This window comes from Homo sapiens, chromosome 14 (assembly GCF_000001405.40).
Source record: "Homo sapiens chromosome 14, GRCh38.p14 Primary Assembly".
NCBI classification, from domain to species: Eukaryota; Metazoa; Chordata; class Mammalia; order Primates; family Hominidae; genus Homo; species Homo sapiens.
Window position 1 is genome coordinate 85,621,139 of NC_000014.9, and position 21,133 is coordinate 85,642,271.

The 21,133-nt window shown below is 38.7% G+C and overlaps 1 protein-coding gene across 6 annotated transcripts in view; it reads left to right on the top strand.

Annotated features, from left to right (window-relative positions):
• FLRT2 (fibronectin leucine rich transmembrane protein 2) overlaps positions 1-21,133 on the top strand; it is a 124,285-nt gene that overhangs the window by 90,995 nt on the left and 12,157 nt on the right. For all 6 annotated transcript variants that reach the window (NM_001346144.2, XM_047431176.1, NM_013231.6 and 3 more), the window contains one exon: positions 1-21,133. This exon is cut by the window's right edge and continues 12,157 nt beyond it. In NM_001346144.2, coding sequence (NP_001333073.1) covers positions 377-2,359 — 1,983 coding nt within the window. In that variant the 5' untranslated portion in view covers positions 1-376 and the 3' untranslated portion in view covers positions 2,360-21,133.

Here is a 21,133-nt window from a genome sequence, read left to right on the forward strand (position 1 = left end):
ATTGCAGATTGAGCTTAACCAAGAAGTTCGTAGGCTAATCAAGGCTGGCTTGACCTACAAAAGAAGAAGAGAGTTCTGCCTGCCCACTTGGGCTTGTGTTGACACGGCTGATAACTTGCCATCACCTGTTGCCAGTGTGGAAAAATTCTCCCTGTTGAATTTTTTGCACATGGAGGACAGCAGCAAAGAGGGCAACACAGGCTGATAAGACCAGAGACAGCAGGGAGATTATTTTACCATACGCCCTCAGGACGTTCCCTCTAGCTGGAGTTCTGGACTTCAACAGAACCCCATCCAGTCATTTTGATTTTGCTGTTTATTTTTTTTTTCTTTTTCTTTTTCCCACCACATTGTATTTTATTTCCGTACTTCAGAAATGGGCCTACAGACCACAAAGTGGCCCAGCCATGGGGCTTTTTTCCTGAAGTCTTGGCTTATCATTTCCCTGGGGCTCTACTCACAGGTGTCCAAACTCCTGGCCTGCCCTAGTGTGTGCCGCTGCGACAGGAACTTTGTCTACTGTAATGAGCGAAGCTTGACCTCAGTGCCTCTTGGGATCCCGGAGGGCGTAACTGTACTCTACCTCCACAACAACCAAATTAATAATGCTGGATTTCCTGCAGAACTGCACAATGTACAGTCGGTGCACACGGTCTACCTGTATGGCAACCAACTGGACGAATTCCCCATGAACCTTCCCAAGAATGTCAGAGTTCTCCATTTGCAGGAAAACAATATTCAGACCATTTCACGGGCTGCTCTTGCCCAGCTCTTGAAGCTTGAAGAGCTGCACCTGGATGACAACTCCATATCCACAGTGGGGGTGGAAGACGGGGCCTTCCGGGAGGCTATTAGCCTCAAATTGTTGTTTTTGTCTAAGAATCACCTGAGCAGTGTGCCTGTTGGGCTTCCTGTGGACTTGCAAGAGCTGAGAGTGGATGAAAATCGAATTGCTGTCATATCCGACATGGCCTTCCAGAATCTCACGAGCTTGGAGCGTCTTATTGTGGACGGGAACCTCCTGACCAACAAGGGTATCGCCGAGGGCACCTTCAGCCATCTCACCAAGCTCAAGGAATTTTCAATTGTACGTAATTCGCTGTCCCACCCTCCTCCCGATCTCCCAGGTACGCATCTGATCAGGCTCTATTTGCAGGACAACCAGATAAACCACATTCCTTTGACAGCCTTCTCAAATCTGCGTAAGCTGGAACGGCTGGATATATCCAACAACCAACTGCGGATGCTGACTCAAGGGGTTTTTGATAATCTCTCCAACCTGAAGCAGCTCACTGCTCGGAATAACCCTTGGTTTTGTGACTGCAGTATTAAATGGGTCACAGAATGGCTCAAATATATCCCTTCATCTCTCAACGTGCGGGGTTTCATGTGCCAAGGTCCTGAACAAGTCCGGGGGATGGCCGTCAGGGAATTAAATATGAATCTTTTGTCCTGTCCCACCACGACCCCCGGCCTGCCTCTCTTCACCCCAGCCCCAAGTACAGCTTCTCCGACCACTCAGCCTCCCACCCTCTCTATTCCAAACCCTAGCAGAAGCTACACGCCTCCAACTCCTACCACATCGAAACTTCCCACGATTCCTGACTGGGATGGCAGAGAAAGAGTGACCCCACCTATTTCTGAACGGATCCAGCTCTCTATCCATTTTGTGAATGATACTTCCATTCAAGTCAGCTGGCTCTCTCTCTTCACCGTGATGGCATACAAACTCACATGGGTGAAAATGGGCCACAGTTTAGTAGGGGGCATCGTTCAGGAGCGCATAGTCAGCGGTGAGAAGCAACACCTGAGCCTGGTTAACTTAGAGCCCCGATCCACCTATCGGATTTGTTTAGTGCCACTGGATGCTTTTAACTACCGCGCGGTAGAAGACACCATTTGTTCAGAGGCCACCACCCATGCCTCCTATCTGAACAACGGCAGCAACACAGCGTCCAGCCATGAGCAGACGACGTCCCACAGCATGGGCTCCCCCTTTCTGCTGGCGGGCTTGATCGGGGGCGCGGTGATATTTGTGCTGGTGGTCTTGCTCAGCGTCTTTTGCTGGCATATGCACAAAAAGGGGCGCTACACCTCCCAGAAGTGGAAATACAACCGGGGCCGGCGGAAAGATGATTATTGCGAGGCAGGCACCAAGAAGGACAACTCCATCCTGGAGATGACAGAAACCAGTTTTCAGATCGTCTCCTTAAATAACGATCAACTCCTTAAAGGAGATTTCAGACTGCAGCCCATTTACACCCCAAATGGGGGCATTAATTACACAGACTGCCATATCCCCAACAACATGCGATACTGCAACAGCAGCGTGCCAGACCTGGAGCACTGCCATACGTGACAGCCAGAGGCCCAGCGTTATCAAGGCGGACAATTAGACTCTTGAGAACACACTCGTGTGTGCACATAAAGACACGCAGATTACATTTGATAAATGTTACACAGATGCATTTGTGCATTTGAATACTCTGTAATTTATACGGTGTACTATATAATGGGATTTAAAAAAAGTGCTATCTTTTCTATTTCAAGTTAATTACAAACAGTTTTGTAACTCTTTGCTTTTTAAATCTTAAAAAAAAAAAAGTTGCTGAAGTACTGTACAGGGTTGTACAATGAGAACCCAATGCCAAGGCAAAAAGAACGAGTGATTTTTCCTTAGGATACACATCAACCACTTTGCTGTTGAAGCTGTCAGAATAAATTCCTGGTGGTCAGATGAAAGGGCAGATTAAATGGACTCATCAGGGTAAGAGGAATAATATGGGTAAAACAAGAAATGGCCCGATAGTTTCACACTATTCCTATACCTCCAGGTCCGGAAGACAGGTAAAAAATTCTATAATGTAAGAATGGAGGTAGTTACCCTGATTTGACCCTGTGTGGGAAATGCTGAAAGCACCAGGAGGAAGCCGGTTCCCGTGAGATAAGTTAACCCGGCCTGACAGAATCAAGAAAATTGAGATGAGATTTGAAAGGACCCGAAAATGCAGGGGTTGGCTTTCTGACTGGGAACTTAAAAATCACTCTTCATGCTTCCCTGGTCCTATGTGATAACAGAGTTAGAGACTTGAGTCTGATTTCAGTCATCTTCAGGGACCAGTCTGATGTTGTAGCAAGAAGACTCCCTTTAAAAGTGTTACTGTTCAAATCATATATCAGGTTGAATCACATTCAACAGAGATATATTCTAGAATACTTTTTTAGAAGAGGCTAATAAAGGGAAGAATTATATTGAATGGAATTATTTTTGATAATGAGAATTATTTGGGTAGATTCACTGAGGCTATGTCAACATGATATTTAGACCAACAGGTGATCAATGTTTGGAAAATACAACAATGACTTATTTAAAAATTACCCTTCCTGCTATTTAGACAAAAACAACTGATCAGTGGTTCTGTTATGTCAGCTGACTTTGTTAGTATCATGTTGAAATAGCTTGAAGTAATATCTTTTATCCCCTTGCAAATTCTTGTCTTCCAATCATCTCCCATATATTTTCATAATTAGTTGTTTATGACACCTTTGTTTTTCTCCCTCTGTTCAGTATTTCAAGGAAAATTATGGATGCCAGTCTTGGCTGCACAAGATATCCATTACGTACTTATACATTTTAAAATGAGTACTAATTTTCACTGCTAATAATTCTGTAAGGACACATCAAAGCTGGCCAAAATAATGAATTTTTTTTAAAAAGCAATACCTGGTTTCCACCTTGGACTGACTTTGATCCTGTTCCACTTTTGAAATTTTATTTGTTCCTTTTCCATCGTGGATGTTCCTCTACTTTGGCAATTGTGGAGGGCTAATCAATCTTATGTTAGCAGGACAACCCATGAAAAACAAGTCAGAGAGTGAAGGCTTTTTCCCCTAATCCTGGCAGAGCAGGGCGTAGAAAAGAGAGGATGTCCGTGCTTAATTCTAGATACTTTTGAGACAACACCTTCAGAAAACACATAATTTAATCTTTGCCATCCTTAGATAGAGAAGGGCTATAGATCACATACGTTATCAAAAACTACTCCCTTGGAAAAAATATCTTTCGAAAATCAAATTTAAACATTTCACTCTGTGCTGCATATTTCTTTTACCATTGACCATTATTATAGGGACCCATGAAGTAAATGTCACAATCATCTTACTAGCTCTCTCTCTCTCAGCAAAATAAAACTGTGATGTGTCTTCTTTGTAAAAGTTTAGGTATAAAATGCTATGCAACTTTTTCTTTATAGTAAGAGCTTTATTTTCTTTAATAATATAGCCCAACTTATATGTTTTAATCTCCCTTGTCCCTCAGAATAAGCAGAAAATATAACTGCAGCTGTATGTCGTAGACACAAGAATTGAAACTGTGCAGTCAGTAGAGCTGAACTTAGCTATGAATTAATTTAAATTAATTCTAAAGTGACTCTGGTTTCCATTTTAGTCTATTAGCTAGAGGGTTTTGGCTGTTGCTTTTTTTAAAGTTAGGTCCACACAGTGAAGGGAAAAGAGTCTGTGAAGGTGATCAGTGTAGCAGTAAGACATCTAAAATCAAGACAATGACATGGGGGCTTTGTGTACTTAGCTGGATAATTCCCTTCTACTGTCCTCTTCCCCTTGGCTGTGTAGATAAAATTGTGCATTCAAATGATGGTACTTTGACTTTTGAGGGTTTTTATTTCTGTTATTCACAAAATACTCATTCTCATTTATGTATATTGTATGTTTAACCCCCAGTGGGATTTCTGGCTGCTGAAACCACTTTGGGCCAGGAAGAACAAGGATGAAGAGGTTCCTGTCATTTCTTATGGGGTTCACAGAATTATTTGGGGCTTAAATGGTACAATGGAGACAGTCATGTGCAATGCTTAAGATGGTCTGACAGGGTCCCTTTTGCTGGAGGTGTTCCTGAAGAGATTGAACCTAGTAACAGGCTTTATTTTCACCTTGTGTACAACATGGCAAAGACTGCTAAGATTAAAATCCGTCTCCCATTTGTTACAGCCTCACCTGCACCAGGATAGAAAGCACGTGATGGAATCTGTGATGTCTAATGTGTCTTATGAAAATTGCCAAACAACTGTCCCTGGGGATTCTGCTTTGATTGGCATTTTTAGTCATGGGAATGTATATTTGCTGATATATCTGCTCTGTGTTTGGGCCTCTCTTGCTGTCATTATGATGTATTTTGAGATGATTAGTCAAGAGTCAAGGTTGCGAGTACAGGCCAAGACCATGGGAAAAAAAGCCATGCTCACTGGCCAATAAAGAGCTTGATGCTGCCTGGCCAAATGAGGTGACTCAGATAGAATCTGATCCCATTCAGAGCTTGGTAAATGTCACTGTACAGAAGACATTGAAAAGGAAGAGGCATAGTCATGATCAAAAGGATATATTGACAGTTATCTATAGCCAGGGTAGTTGTTAATACCTGCTTGTTTGGGGAGATATGTTTGATTATAGAGAGACTCTGGGCCACCCTCAAACACCGTCAGATGCATTAGCAGCCCACTGCATGGGACAATCGCAGGCAGATACGAGGAATGTATCCCCTGCCTATTTTCCTTGTGTAACAAATGGAAAACATTCTCCCCTGTGAGAAATAATGCAATTTCTAATTATCTGGATGTTCGTTGAAAATATATTAGACATTCTCCCTGAGGTTAAAAACAAAAAGTACGTGACCAGTCTGGTAAGAAGTATTAATGAAGTAGCTAATATTACAGCTTCATTTTCTACTAGCACCTATCATAATGGTCTTAGTCATTTCACACAAATCAGAACTTCCTTCCCCACCAGGGAGGACAACATCTTCATGCTGTGATTGAAGCATCCATTCAGAACACGAGGCAATATTGCAGTCCACAGGGAATGGATGCTTCACTTGATCTCCGGACCTTGGCTGCAGAGGCCATCGCAGCTTTTGAAAAGTGAAGGGGTTAATTCCCATTGGTGTCTTTGCTTATAGCATTTTTCTCTAACCTATAACAAGGAGACATTACATTTTACTTTAGAACATGAGAATAGCAGTTTTGCTCATGACTTACCATTCCAGCTGCATGGGAAAGCAAAGCAGAAAACAGTGCCCCAAATGGAAAAAAGATACTCACACAGAACAAAACAGTTCTTGGTCTTGTTCTTGGTCTTGTCAAACCTTGCCTGATGCTCTTTCTAAAGTCAAAATATGAATGCTAAGAAGGCATAACCTACATCCTTCTCTGATTTCTTCAGCAGGGTCAAAAGACAGTTACTAGCAATGGGGAATGCTTGTCACTGTGGAGAAAGAGTTTTGTATATGTCTGATACCGTTGTTATAACAAAACAAATTTTTTTACTATAGTTTTTTGTTTTCTACCTGCACACCCACCAGAAGAGCACAAAGCAAGGCCATTGCAACAGGCATTTAAAAATTATTATCAAACATGCACATGCTTGTACACACACACACACACACACACAAACAGGGGCATTTGTAAAGGTGTCCCTGGAATGTAAGATTTATAATGTTTAAGGCAAGGTGAAGGCATTGCCAAGTGTGTGTCGCTCATAGGACTAGTGTATATTCACTGAAAGTTAACCTGATGATTTGTTATTGTTTGAACCATATGCTGATTTGCTTCTGGTTTCTGTTTAGTGTGTTCTCTCTGATAAGGGGCTGAAAGATTCTGCATCACACATCCTCTGAGACCTACCATGTCGCACACTTTGTTAATGACAAACTTCACTCTACACTATACAGTACCTTGTTGATATATTCAGTAAAGTCTTATTTTAAAAGAAAACCACATTGTGTTTATCTGAGTAAGTTCATTGGGATACAGTCAATACTTGTGCTGTTAATGTAGAAGAAATGACGCAGGAGGGCAGGAATAAAAGAGGTAATAGGACTTTCGTATTCTCCTATCATGAATATGACTTGCATTTCTAAAGGCCATTTGATCCTTTTTGTGTGAGGAGTTTATATGAAATCCTCATGTTCTTTTAAATTTCCCAACTAAATTGTGTGTTCCTACGAATACCTTTTAGGTATGCACACATACACAGAGCATCTTATTTTATACTGGTGAAATCTATGTTGTTTAGGATACAGATAATGTCATTGTATTTATCCTATCAGAATAGGCTTTTCCCCTATTTCAAAATAGATGCTATTGGCTTTATTTTTTATTTTTAAATTTTTTTTAAACACGGTCTTACCATGTTGCCCAGGCTGGTCTCAAACTCCTAGATGCAAGCAATCATCCCACCTCGATCACCCAAAGTGCTGGGAGTACAGGCAGAGGACACCATGCCCAGCCACGCTATTGGTTTTAAATGTCAGATTTCTTTAAGAATTCTCATAGTACTTTTCTGCCGCAGAATTTATAGCACATCTGTCCATCCTTTCAATAGGCACTCAAGGAAATGTATCTATTCATATGCTCAACTTCAATTGATTAGTCTCATATGATTTTTCAGAACCCCTTTTGCTAACCCCTCTTGGCCATTTCATTAATAATGTATTTGACAGAGATTGAATCAGGAAATAAATTCATGACATTTCAGTTAACTAGTATTACCTGTTTGTAGAATCTCTGTTGGAACATTGACTATGAAAGACAGTGCTAACAAGTAATTCATATTACTTTTGGGGATTTTATGTAAAGTAACATCTATGCTATTCTTGGGTACTTTTGCCAAGAGTTACAGACCTTATTCTATACAGACTAAACCATTAGTCAAAAAATACCATTCATTCAAAATAATTCATTAATGTCCTCCTACTCTGTTCCAAACACTAGGCTGAGTTCAGAGGCCTCACAGAATAGTGAAATGCGTTCTTAGCCAAATCAGGCAAATCTTCTCCCTCACTATGTCCCTGAAGAAATCTCTTCATCTGATATATTTACTATTCATCTACTTTCTACAGCACTATGTTAGGGTCTTCCGGGGATTCAGAGAAAAGTGTCTGTGAGCCATTAAGAAACTCACAGATCAGGTAATAAACACTTTTTCTAATGCATTCCAGTGTCTCAGAGCCTGCATAATCACTTTATACTACTTCATTAAATTGACAGGACATCTAAGGTGACAAAAGAGATGTTTCTACCTGTTGGTAAGGTTGATGCAACTGTCATAATTAGATGTTCTTGGTTTTTAATAGATGCAGCAATGAGAGAGTACATTGCTAAAGTCAGAACTTAATTTGAATTAAATTTTCAAGTTTCCACCAAGTATTTGAAAACTTAGAAATTGTATTTCGTAATTACACATGCAGACATTTAAATTTTTATTAAGCACCACGATGGAACTCAATCTAAAGGAATAATGGCACCTGATAATTACTAACAACCTTTGTTTATATAAGACCTTGTGCAAACTGTGTGATAACGTATGTTTGCATTCTGTCTTTAAAATAACCCTGTAAGGTGCGTTATTTTAATTTTTAGATTTTAAAACTTAGCTTCAAGAGAAATTAAGTGATTAGTCTATAGCTACAAATCCTGTAAATGGCAGAGTCAGGAATTACCACTGAGCATGACTCCATGGACTCTTAATTGTTTTCCTGCCTCTTAATAAATTGACCATCCTTGAGACTGACTAGCCTTCAGATTTTTCATGATGGAGCTATCATAACTTCTCAGTGGATACATATATTATCATTTATGGCAAATAAAGGGAACATTTTAGAAGCCTCAAAATTCTTGTCTTTTAAAGCCCTTGGTCATCCATTCCTATTTTTTATAAAAATTCTTTTTGTGATTATTTGATGGCTGCACATTTATCTGATTTGAAGGTTTCAGATGGAATCAAGATATGTCTGTACCCATAGGGTGAGCTGAAAGAGCTACTAAAAGGTCTTCAGTTGGGTTATTTTTAGGAATGAATTTGTTTCGTACTTGAGATGTTGCTCTAAGTATTTTGTAGATTCCGCTGAAAAAGCACGTATGTCACAATCTATTAGGGCATTAGTAAACTGGCTTCTGAATTTATGCTCTTTTTTTTTCCCATAACATAGATAAAAATGTGTGCTTTAGGGGATATTATATAAGCTTTATTTTCACTGGCTCTACTGAAAGTTAAGGATACAAAAGTTTTTAATGGTAATAACCCAAACTATATGTCATTTTAGCACACACATACCAATGGGTGATCATATCTGTCTTTTTTTTTTTTTTTTTTTTTTGGTATGAAGTCTAAACTAGACGAAAACCTCAATATATCCTTAGGGGAATTCTTATTACTTCAATGACATAATAAACCTCAGTATTGGGTCACTCTTTTCCTAATATAAAAAACTATGCTGGCTCAAAAAGTCTTCTAAACTCCCTAGTTGGGATAGGATGGGCCTTTGTTGGTTTAGTTTTGATTTCATTCAGCAAATATTTACCGAGGCCTGGTAAGTTCTGGTGCAGAATAAGAATGTTTTCCAGGAGAGTTAAATTTTGCTCATCAAAAATCTTTCTTGGAAGCTGCTGGTTTTTAACCGTCAGCCTGGGCTCTTTCTGCCTCTTTGCTTTTTTTGAGCAGAATATGGCCAGGCTGGTCTCAAACTCCTGATCTTAGGTGATCCACCCACCTAGGCCTCCCAAAGTGCTGGGATTACAGGCATGAGCCACACCACTGCATTTAAATAATCAGCCTAGGATTCTGCTAGTTCCAGCACCAGAGTGGCCTCTCAAATGTGTTTTCTCCTCTTGGTTCCCTGACTCTGACTTGGTTAAGACCCTTCCTTTAGTCTTTTTCTAATTTAGCCTTTCCAACACATTGAAGGACAAAGGGTAATCATAATCTATAAGGAATGCCTGAGTACGATACTGCAGTGCTTGCAAAACATGCGTTTTTATTGCTTGCAAGATAGAATTCAAACTCTTTGTGTGACTTATGTATCCTACTACATGTTGCTCCCTGACATTTCTTACCAATATTGCCTCCTCCTTCATTACATGCTCTAGATTATATATATATAATTACATATATAATCTAGATTTTATATATATATATATATGAAATGAGCAAACAAAATGCTTTCAGTTTATCTTCCTGGGATCTCAAGTTCCTTCAAACCACTATATATGTGCTCAAGGTCTTTCATCCTGTGACATTCCCCTTTGCCTGATGACATATTTGTCCTTTAAGATACAAGTCAAAGACCTCTCTTCCAAAGCCGCTGGAATCACACCTGCCAATTATCTGACCGCTTTGTGCGGTTAATATAACTTTAAAATACATTTATTTTTAGCACCTATATATTGTAATTTTTTGTGAGTCTGCTTCATGCCTATACAATGGGGCCCCTGGAAACAGAAAACATATTCTGTAAATTGTTGTACCTCATCCAGTGTTAAGAGCCATGCCCAGGCCCTGGTGGGTGCCCAGCTACAGGGGAAGAGCCACTCTGTCAGTTGCTTATGGCCAGATGGCTCTTTTTTTAATAGCCCCAGAAAGAGCTGTGGAGTTCTGACTTGTGCAAAATTAGCCTTGCTCAAAGACCACAGTATGCGTTTTACAAGAACAAACAAACATATATATTTTCCTTAAAATCTCTTGATTACTCATCAACATTTTTAAAAGAAATTTTGTTTTTATGATTATTTGGTGGCCATGCATCTGATTTGAAAGCTTTAGATGGAATCAGTATGTCTACATTCATAGGATGTGCTGAGATAACAATTAAAAAGACCTGAAGAACATCTTTTTATTTTATTTATTTATTTTTTTTTGAGTTGGAGTCTCACTCTGTCACCAGATTGGAGTGCAGTGGCACAAGCTCGGCTCACTGCAACCTCCGCCTCCCGGGTTCAAGCAATTCTCCTGCCTCAGCCTCCTGCGTAGCTGGGACTACAGGCGTGCACCACCATGCCTGGCTAATTTTTTGTATTTTTAGTAGAGATGGGTTTTGCCACATTGGCCAGGCTAGTCTCGAACTCCTGACCTCAGGTGATCCCCCCACCTAGGCCTCCCAAAGTGCTGGGATTACAGGTGTGAGCCACTGCGCCCAGCCAAGAACATCCTTTTTATATATTACAGACAAACTCAAAACTGAACCAGCTTGCAGAAAAGCATACAAAGAGGTATCTTTAAAAATCACCTTAATCCCAGCACTTTGGGAGGCCGAGGTGGGCAGATCACGAGGTCAAGAAATCAAGACCATCCTGGCCAACATGGTGAAACCCTGTCTCTACTAAAAATACAAAAAATTTAGCCGGGCTTGGTGGTGCGTGCCTGTAGTCCCAGCTACTCAGGAGGCTGAGGCAGGAGAATTGCTTGAACCTAGGAGGTGGAGGTTGCAGTGAGCCAAGATCATGCCATTGCACTCCAGCCTGGTGACAGAGTGAGACTCAAAAAAAAAAAAAAAAAAATCACCTTGCAACAAAATATCGCCATCATGAAAAGTCCACAAAGCACAAGTAGACACAAAGTTAAACATTTCGACAGTCGGCTAGTCAAAATGAATTCTTTGCATGTGAAAAGCAGAGATTTTTTTTTTTTCATCTTCATCAGCAAAATTAAAAAAGACAGTCATTATTCACTATGTCATATCCCATATAAAAATACAGCATATATCATTTAAAGGTTCACATTGTGTTATCTTGGTTATTGCCATGAGAATAGTCTTTCCTAGAAATGATATGCTTGTAAAGAAGGGAGTGGAGAGTGGTAGTTATTAAGAAATCAGTTTGAAATCAAGCTGACTTACTTTGGAATCCTGCTTCAACCACTGACCTGCCAATTTGCCTTGGCAATAACTTGCACTTTAGGGTTATCAGTGTACTTTTCCTAAAATGGGGACAATGATGTCTAACACATATGGTGGTTGTCAGAATTAAAGGCATATATAGTAGTTGACAGAGTATCTGGTACTGAGTATACATTGAATAAATGACATGAAGCACCATGTATTTTTCATGCAGATGTAATTCACAAGCACATGGTGACAAATTGCCAGCTTTTTATGATGAAAATCAAATTTCTTGTGTATTGGGGTAAGAATTACATGTAGAGATGATCTATTTAAAGGTAATTAGCATTCAAAATTCCTCAAAACACTCAATAATTTGCACAGCTATTATCAAGATGGGTCTGTCAGAAAGGTTTTCATTATTCTGTATTCTTTCTGGGGGAAAAAAATTGGGAAGATGAGGTGCCATGGGATAACACACAACCATGGCAGGCCTTTTTTCTCATGGTGTGTGGGATCATTGAACAACATGGTTGAACAGAAAGAGAACAGACTTCTTTATAATGTAGCATATATTCTATCTGGTTGCTAGAGTACACATAGATGTAGTTATTGCTGAAAATTAATTCAGAATATGTGGGTGTCAAAAGAGCCCCAGGAATGAGCATTCAGAAGGCATTGGAAATCAAAATACTAAAAACAAAATCAAGATAAGCTGAGCACAGTGGCTCATGCCTATAATCGCAGTACTTTGGGAGGCCAAGGTGGGAGGATTGCTTGAGGTCAGGATTTCCAGACCAGCCTGGGCAATGCAGTGAGACCCTATCTCTAAAAAAAAAAAAAAAAATTAGCCAGGAGTGGTGGCATGTGCCTATAGTCCCAGCTACTTGGGAGGTTGAAGCAGGAGGGTCACTTGAGCCCAGGAGATCAAGATTACATTGAGCTCTGATTGTGCCACTGCACTCCAGCTTAGGCAACTGAGCAAGACCCTGTCTCAAAAAAAAAAAAAAAGTAATAAATTTCTGATATTGTTTCAAAAATCTATAATTTCTAGTAAGACATAGTTTTATTTGATGCTAGTACACCACCAATTACGGCATTTAAATCCACACTGGGTTTGCTGATAGTGGGGATGGTAGCAGTCAAATGGAAGAACATTTTAATGTCTCTACAATGCAGGTGCAATAGTCTACCACCTGTCATGTGGTTACTTTTTGCAATCGATATCATTATTAAGTTTGGAAGCTGGTTGTTATTAACAGGCATGCATCCTCTTCAGCTGGATCACGTTGTTTTCTTTCTGTACACTTTGTGGTAGTTAATAGTCTCAAAGCAATTCACTCACTACGGTCTGTATTAGCATTATTTTCCTTTCTATTTATGTCTTTCCTTGCTTAATAAATGCAGAAGTTCAGACATTTGATGAGGGGGGAAATATACTTTTTCAGTCCTTGACTGCATGATTTAATTGGTTTCAGGACAGTTATTTGGCAAGTAGTATCAATGGGTACTGGCATTCCTGTGGTCTGCTGCCAATCTCTATTCTGTTTGGACTAGTGTCTGTTTTGACTGGTAGGCCTCAGCTATCCTATTGCTAAGTATTTTACATAACTGCCCTCATTAGTTGGAATATAGCATGCTTTACTAGTGTATCTGAAGTAAGGAGGAAGCAGGAAGTGAGCTGTTTTGTAATGGAGGCCAATTATATCTAACAGCAACTGTGTCTATAAGACTGTAGCCTATTGGATGGGAAGTTATATTATGAAAACATGATGAATCTTTTAAATTCTGAGTCCAATGCTGTCTACATCTAAATTTAAATCCTGGCTCATACTAACCTTGGTCCTTGGGCATGTATATGCTTCAATTTTCTCATCTGTACATGGGTTAATAACAACACTCACCTCAACAGTAACCATACTGCACAGTGCCTGACACATATAAAGTGCTCAATAAATGCCAGCTACTTTCTGAAAATATATGGAATTAGTGTGCAAAAAGTTGGGCTATATAACTCAAATCTCCTTTGTATCTTGGATAAGACCACTTCTCTCTCGGGCTTGTTTCTTATAGTCAAAAGCGCAGGAATTTAGTTGATCTCCCAAGTTACTTTGGACCTTAAATTCTGTTTTATGGTTGTTCATTTTCTATGTAGTTTAGATTTGGTTCATTGGACTGATTTGTGTTCTGTGTGCTTTTAAAATTCAGGAAGATGTGACTAGGATAGATAAAGCAAACATATAAACACTCAGTTTCATTGACTTAAGTATAAAGACTAACATGTTTCTCATTAGTTATAATAACCTTAAACTTGATATGTTAGGGAAGCAACCTGCATAACCATTAAAATCAGGAGCTACAGAATCACAAAGAACTGTGACTTTGTATCTGTGTGATATTATTTAATGTCCCTAAGCCTCAGTTTCCTCATATATGAAATGAGGTACTAATACTTTTAAGGATTTGATGAGATAATTTATATCATCTTCACTTCAGTGGTTGGCATATATTCAAACCCATTATGGCTGAAAAATTACAAATGAATAGAAAGAGAAGCAAGTGAAAACAAAACTCATTAGTTCAACCACTTCTCCCTCAAAACAAGGAAATACAAACTATATTACTAAGTAGACTATTAATAAAACACTTTATTTAAGTCAAAATTATCAAAGATAGAGTGTCGTACAATAAAAATTGTATAAAAAATTGTTTATTAAAATATTAAATATTTTATGTTTTCAAGCCATTATATAACAGCTATTAAACCCTAATATTTGACAGAGAAAGAATTATGAGAATAGCTAGAAAATATTAAATAATAAATGTGGTTTATTTTTGATGGAATAGAACAGATTTTAACCCTGATCCCTGCCACTTTTATCTGAACCTTGAACAAACATACAATTATGGTTTAAAAAAAAGAAAGATGAAAACTTTTTAGAATAATTAGGAAATTCTTCTTTCCCAGACCTTCAATACTTTTATAAAACCACTACTTAGCAGCTAACAATGAAATGTTCATTTCAAAATGTTTAGTCTTTAAAGCGGTTACCTAAGAATATCTGCCAGTGAACACTAGCTTTATTTCATCACATCATACACCTGAATGTAATCAACATTGCTTTATTAAAGATGTTTATATAATTTTTATATAATACACACTTCCAATAATTGATAATAGTCTAATGATTGATATTTTAAATTAATGGCTTGTAATTGTGTAATTGGAAAGTGGTCCTTGGGACTCAGATTAAGGTATCATTACCTGTTCTTTCATAAGCTGTTATTTATGCTTCTCATTAATTAGTTCTTTGTTATGAAATCTTTAAAAGTTCATTAATTCTGTAAAGGGAATTTAATAAAATGCAAGCAGATTAGTAAAATAATTTGTTTTAAAGTTAGTTTTAAATATTATGCTACCTCTATAAAGGACCAAAATAGTATTTTTAAAAGAATTTATCAAAGTAACTATAATAAAAGTATTTAATGGTATTTGTATTGCAAACATTGAAATTCTACCTGGCAGTTTAAAGAACATCACTAACATTGCCTAAATGTAGGAAAATCAAAGGTGAAGTCACCTGCAGAAAAAAAAAAAAAAAAAACAAAAAACATTCTTATTAATCTTAACTAATTTTCTTTAGTGACAGAAATTCAAACTTCGAGACATGTTTGAAACATTTTATTTCAGTAAATATAGCTGTCACTATGGAAGTAATTACTCTAAAGGAAATCTGTTTTAAAAAGCCAGTATAAACTGAAAAGTAAGCAACAAAACATCTTCAGGAAAAGAAAAAGAAAGGCAAATAAAATGTTTATATGAAATTACGAACATTCTGGGCCGGGTGTGGTGGCTCATGCCTGTAATCCCAGCACTTTTGGAGGCTGAGGTGGGTGAATTATTTATTTGAGGTCAGGAGTTTGAGACTAGCTTGGCCAACATGGTGAAAGCCCGCCTTTACTAAAAATACAAAAATTAGCAGGGTATGGTGGCAGGCGCCTGTTATCCCAGCTACTTGGGAGGCTGAGGCAGCAGAATTGCTTGAACCTGGGAGGCGGAGGTTGCAGTGAGCTGAGATAGTGCCACTGCATTCTAGCCTGGGTGACAGAGCGATACTTCGTCTCCAAAAAAAAAAAAAAAAAAAAAAAAAGAGAGAGACTAACATTCTAACAGACAAAACAAAAACAAAAAACAAAAAAACACATTTTACAAAACAATAATCTAAGTGGGCAAGTAAATACTGGTGTGACATACATTTTTAGGGAAAAACTAGCAACATGTTTTGTGGAGATAAATGTAAACACATTTTACACATACAAATCTTTTCTGGCATGGGTACAAATGTAACTAATCAAGTGTAATTTATAAACTATAAAAAATTTTCATCTAGACAAAGAAGTTATTAAAAGCATTAACAAGTAGTTGAAAATATTATCCCTCTAAGTATTAGAAAGTTAAACTGCAGTAATTAAAAGTCATATAAGAATCACCATGGCATAGACATGGTAGGAAAAGCATTAGCTTTGGCGTTCAAATATTGACTCATTCACTTACCAGCTGTGTTCTCCAGTCAAAAAACTTCACCTCTTTAATGTTTGGTTTCATATTTTTTAAAAGGTATAACAAAAACACCTACCACAGTGTTGGTGTGAAGACTCATTTAAAGTTACTAGCACAGTGTCTAGTATATACAGTTGCTTTGTTACATTAACTCCATTCAATATTCTTTCTTTCCACAATCGTCTGTCACTCCCGGTAGAACTAAGTGATTTTCCATGCTCCTGCAATGACAGCAAATTTCCCCCAGTCTGCTCTTCCATGAATATCTCAGACAGAGAAGGGTGCCTTCTCATGTGATCAGGAGTGATGTAGCTTTGAGGGTGGACCCACCATTCCTGCCATATTCCTTGGGTAGGCTCATCTATCACTTGTCTTAAAGGAAGATTTGAAACATAATAGTTTCCTTTGCGCTTCTGTGGATGTCTCTGAAAAAGCTGGCAGGGCACACACTCTTGCAAATTTTTCATGTTGTAATCACCCACCAGTGGTAATAATAGGGTTAATTATATGAACCCATATAGTAGTGTCATTTAAAGGGAATTTAAATTCTCTCTTGTCCTTACTCTGCTCCACCATCCTCCACTGTGCTTGAAATGCCTATCATTATCCTTATTCTTTTGATACCAGGCATCACTACAAAATGTATACACATTACCTAGATTTTCAAGAAGTGAAATGTTTAGTAACCATTATGATGGAAGCTGGGACTAGGTGACTTATTCTAAATGTAACAATTACCGGTAGAGAATGGGATAAAGGACAACTGAGTGTGGATAGAGAAAGGAGAAATGGAAGAGTTTGGAGCACGGGCCATTGCGATGGACAGACGCCACCGCAGAGAGCAAGGTTTACCTGTGTGGTTGGCATTCTTGGAAGTGCTCTGGTTCTATTGGCAGAGATCCTTGCTGTTAGCCTCTTGCCTTTCGCCCAGGCTGAAGACAGAGTGCTTTCCCATGGTTCTGTCTTTTTCTCCAGGCAACACTTCCTGATGACTGATCAATATTGGGGTAGGAAGTCTTAGACATCTTACTCCAGCTCAGATCAGCTCTGATGGGCTGCAGGCTCAGTTTAGGCTTCCCTTGAGATTTCATCATGGCTTTACTTCTCCCTCTACCAGTCCTGGTTCTTCATAGCCTTCCACAGGTGTCAGCTGCAAAAACCCTCCCAAGTAAGCCTCTTGTATGCTACTCTGTCTCAGAGTCCATTTCCTTGGGAACCCAACCTGCTACAGCCTACTTCACACTTCTTCTCAAGGCTGTCTTGAATTCCTCCAACAATAGACCCGTTATTATGTGAAAGTGTGAGGCTGGGCCCAAGGGATTTCTTTACTTATTGAGCAGAGCGAAGTAACATTAATTTGTGTTATAACCACTGAATGTTCTAATTCCATGAATTTAAATGACGCACCTGAACATATATGAGGCCTAGATTTTGCTGCATGTCCGCAAACCTATTTTGATCAACCAGTACTGAACTTTTCCCCTTCTCTTATGATTGTCAAATAACCTTGTTATATGCTAAAAATAAAAGATTAAAAAACATACAGTGCAAAAAAGCAAACAAAAGTTAGCTAATAATCAATTCTTTGAACGAAGCCCAGTGAAACCAAGTTTATCAACTCTATCTGAAAATAAAAATGTCCAAGAAAATGACAATCAAAACGATTAGTGCATTAGGATAAGTGTCGTCTCTTGTAGATAGATAAAAACTAAACTGAAACCAAAAGAATTTCCAGAGCAGGCAGTCTCTATTCTGTAACAAGGTTTTCTCATGATCCAGTTATTTTAAGGATACCTGCAGGATCCCACAGGTTTTCTCAGGGATTTGCTGGAAGCTGGGAAAGTGATGACTCTCATTCACTGTTGCCCTGTTTCCTTTTCCTTGACAAATTCAGTTAACCGGATGGCAAGTTGTTTATGAGCATGCCTTCTCGTTAAGTTGACAAAATCTTGACAGGAGTAAAAGATAATCGAATTCTCTTTGTGAAGTGATTTATGGTTTTAAAATAAGCAGCTTTTCTTGAAAGTAGTTTACCGGGTTGGGCAAAAAGAGGATGAGTATTAAAGGTCATTAGGCATTCAAGGTACCACATTTACTTTCTACAATGCAAGTAGAAGAAGGGGCCCCACCAGTCATTCTGAGACGTGTTTCCATTTTCTGCTACTTTTTAGTGAGCCCAAATGATGGTAGCAATGATTGATTTATCTCAATCTTCTTGTATAGCTGCTGAATTTTCTCTCATGAGTTTGGCTAAAATTAGAGTGTGTGTTAGTAGAATTTATATTTATAGACTATTGATATTATTATGTGCATTACCCATTTTAAAGATGGAAACACTGAAGCCCCCAGAAAGGACTGGCTAAGCTCTTACAATAAGTGATGGAATGAGCTTTGAAAACACAGGGCTTAGGATTTCAAATCAGGCTGTTTTCCCTCACCGCACCATGGTGCTTCACTAGCAGAAATTCTTTATTTTTTTTTTTTTCCTTTTTTTTTTTTTTTGAGACAGTGTCTCGCTCTGTCCCCCAGGCCAGAGTGCAGCGGCGTGATCTCGACTCACTGCAAGCTCCGCCTTCCGAGTTCACACCATTCTCCTGCCTCAGTCTCCCGAGTAGCTGGGACTACAGGCTCCTGCCACCACGCCTGGCTAATATTTTGTATTTTTAGTAGAGACGAGGTTTCACCGTGTTAGCCAGGATGGTCTCGATTTCCTGACCTCGTGATCCGCCCGCCTCGGCCTCCCAAAGTGCTGGGATTACAGGCGTGAGCCACTGCCCCCCACCCACTAGCAGAAATTCTTAACAGTTATTGTTATCTAACTACTTGACTAGTGTAGATTCTGCTGTGAGCTTGTGGTGGTTCCTTCTGCAGATAAAGCAAAGGAAATCTGGAAATGGCCAACCTGAATACTTTATTTCCAAAACTGTATATTTTATCAGGACAGTAAGGCAATCAGTGGAGTAATGATCCTTCCAAACTGCTGACTACATCTAGAATCATGCAATTATTAGTTTTTAATAAAGATCGTGACCAAGCTTTCCTTGGGAAGTAAACTTTGGTCACCACAATATACATAGCAAGTATTAAATATCTTGAGAGGTTTTCTTTAATTGTTTAATTCATAGGAAAGCCACTGGGAGCCTTCTGGGAGCCAGAAGCAAATTAGGAGACACAGAATTATTTAATAATAATGGTAATAATGACTAAGTTCTCTCATCAAGGTCTGTACCATGATTGAACTACTTGCTGCCATAAATTTTTTACTATTGAATAAATATGCTTTGTGAATATTCCATACATTTGCTAAGTTCTCACTGGTCAGGTTCAGTCTTTGCTATTAGAGTCGAGCATCTCTGCAAAGAGATTTGAGCCCCTTGAGTAGAACATAGGCCACATAGTGTGGCAAACACATCATTAGAAACTGCCTCCTATTCACTCTCTTAATAGCTTGAGAGAATTGTACACAAACGTTTCTAAAATACAGATCCTACCTTAGGCTTTTCGGCTGCACAGCTGAATCGCCTCTGTGAAAATCCTGACCTCGCTTTCTTCTGGCCTTTCTTCCCCGTGACCTTGGGCAAGTTGCTTAAACTGTAGCCATAATTTCCTCATAGATTTGGTATGAGTTAAAATGCATAGAAAGCATGTACTACATCTAGTGCATTTCTCCATAATGTGGGTGGCAATTATTCTAATCCCTTCCACAAAGTATTTAGTCTATGACTTATTTCTGCGAAAACCCACGAAAGTGAAAACTAACAATAGAGAAGCCTTTTAAAAACCTAACAGCCTCCAAAGACTGAAGAAGAGAGCATGGTGTTTAATGCCAGGGTGGAAAGCTGTGACAGTCAGCTTTTTCCCTGGATATGGCTTATTGGTATTCATTATTCCCAATTCCTTCTATATGCCTTCCTTTCTGGATAGAATCGATCACATTTGCTGGACTCCATTATGTTTGGATTCTATGTATAAATTAGGTTCTACCAATTACAGGCACGTGTGCAGGATTTTCAAGGTAGAAGTGAAGTGGAAACTCTCTTCTTACTAATGTCAGTCTTGGGCCCAAGAGGCCATCAGGCACGGTGCCCATAATCAGTGTTTTAGTGTCTGGTCACTATCTTCAGTGGAGTCAGGTGATGTGAATAGCAGCAGGAGAGACCTGATTTCTGGATAAGGACTACAGTAGTACGTCCTTGGACGCAACAGTTTAAGAGGTAGTTCCTGATTTATTCCCCTCCCCTTTCCAATTCATTCCCTGATTTTGTGCACACCTAATACTTATATTAAATACCTCTCCTGCTTTGAATAAATGGAATAATTTCTGTTTCCTGCATTTTATCTTGTTGGATTAAGTATTTGATAATAAAACTGATTGTGGGTCTACTTACCTAAGGGTATAAATTTGATATTGGTTACCTAAACTGTCTGAATTTGAAAGTAGAGACAATCTTATTCATGCATAATGGATCACTGATAATTTTTGGCTTGCAATGAGAAAAAAAAATCAGCAGCTGAAATTATTACCTGAGATCACCTGGAATGAAGAGCCTATTAAAGCCAAGGCTTTGGTGACCAATGTGATTGCTTCAGAATTTTATGATGAGAATGTAAATATAATAATTGTGAGGTAGGCTGAAGCATGTATAGAAAGAAAACAACAAATTCAGAGTTTTAAATAACTGGCTCAAGGCAAGTCAGAGGTCCAAGGAGCATCTATGATTATCTCCGACACTATTTTATTTCTTACAGTTTCAAGGTTGCTGTTGACAAAAAAAAAAAAAAAGAAAGAAAGAAAAAAATGGCACACAGTGTCTGATCTTGTTTATTGCTGAAATATAATTTCAGTTGAATCACACCCTCATCAGGTCTTCTCTGTGAAAATTAGGGCATTGAGTGAGAAATATCAG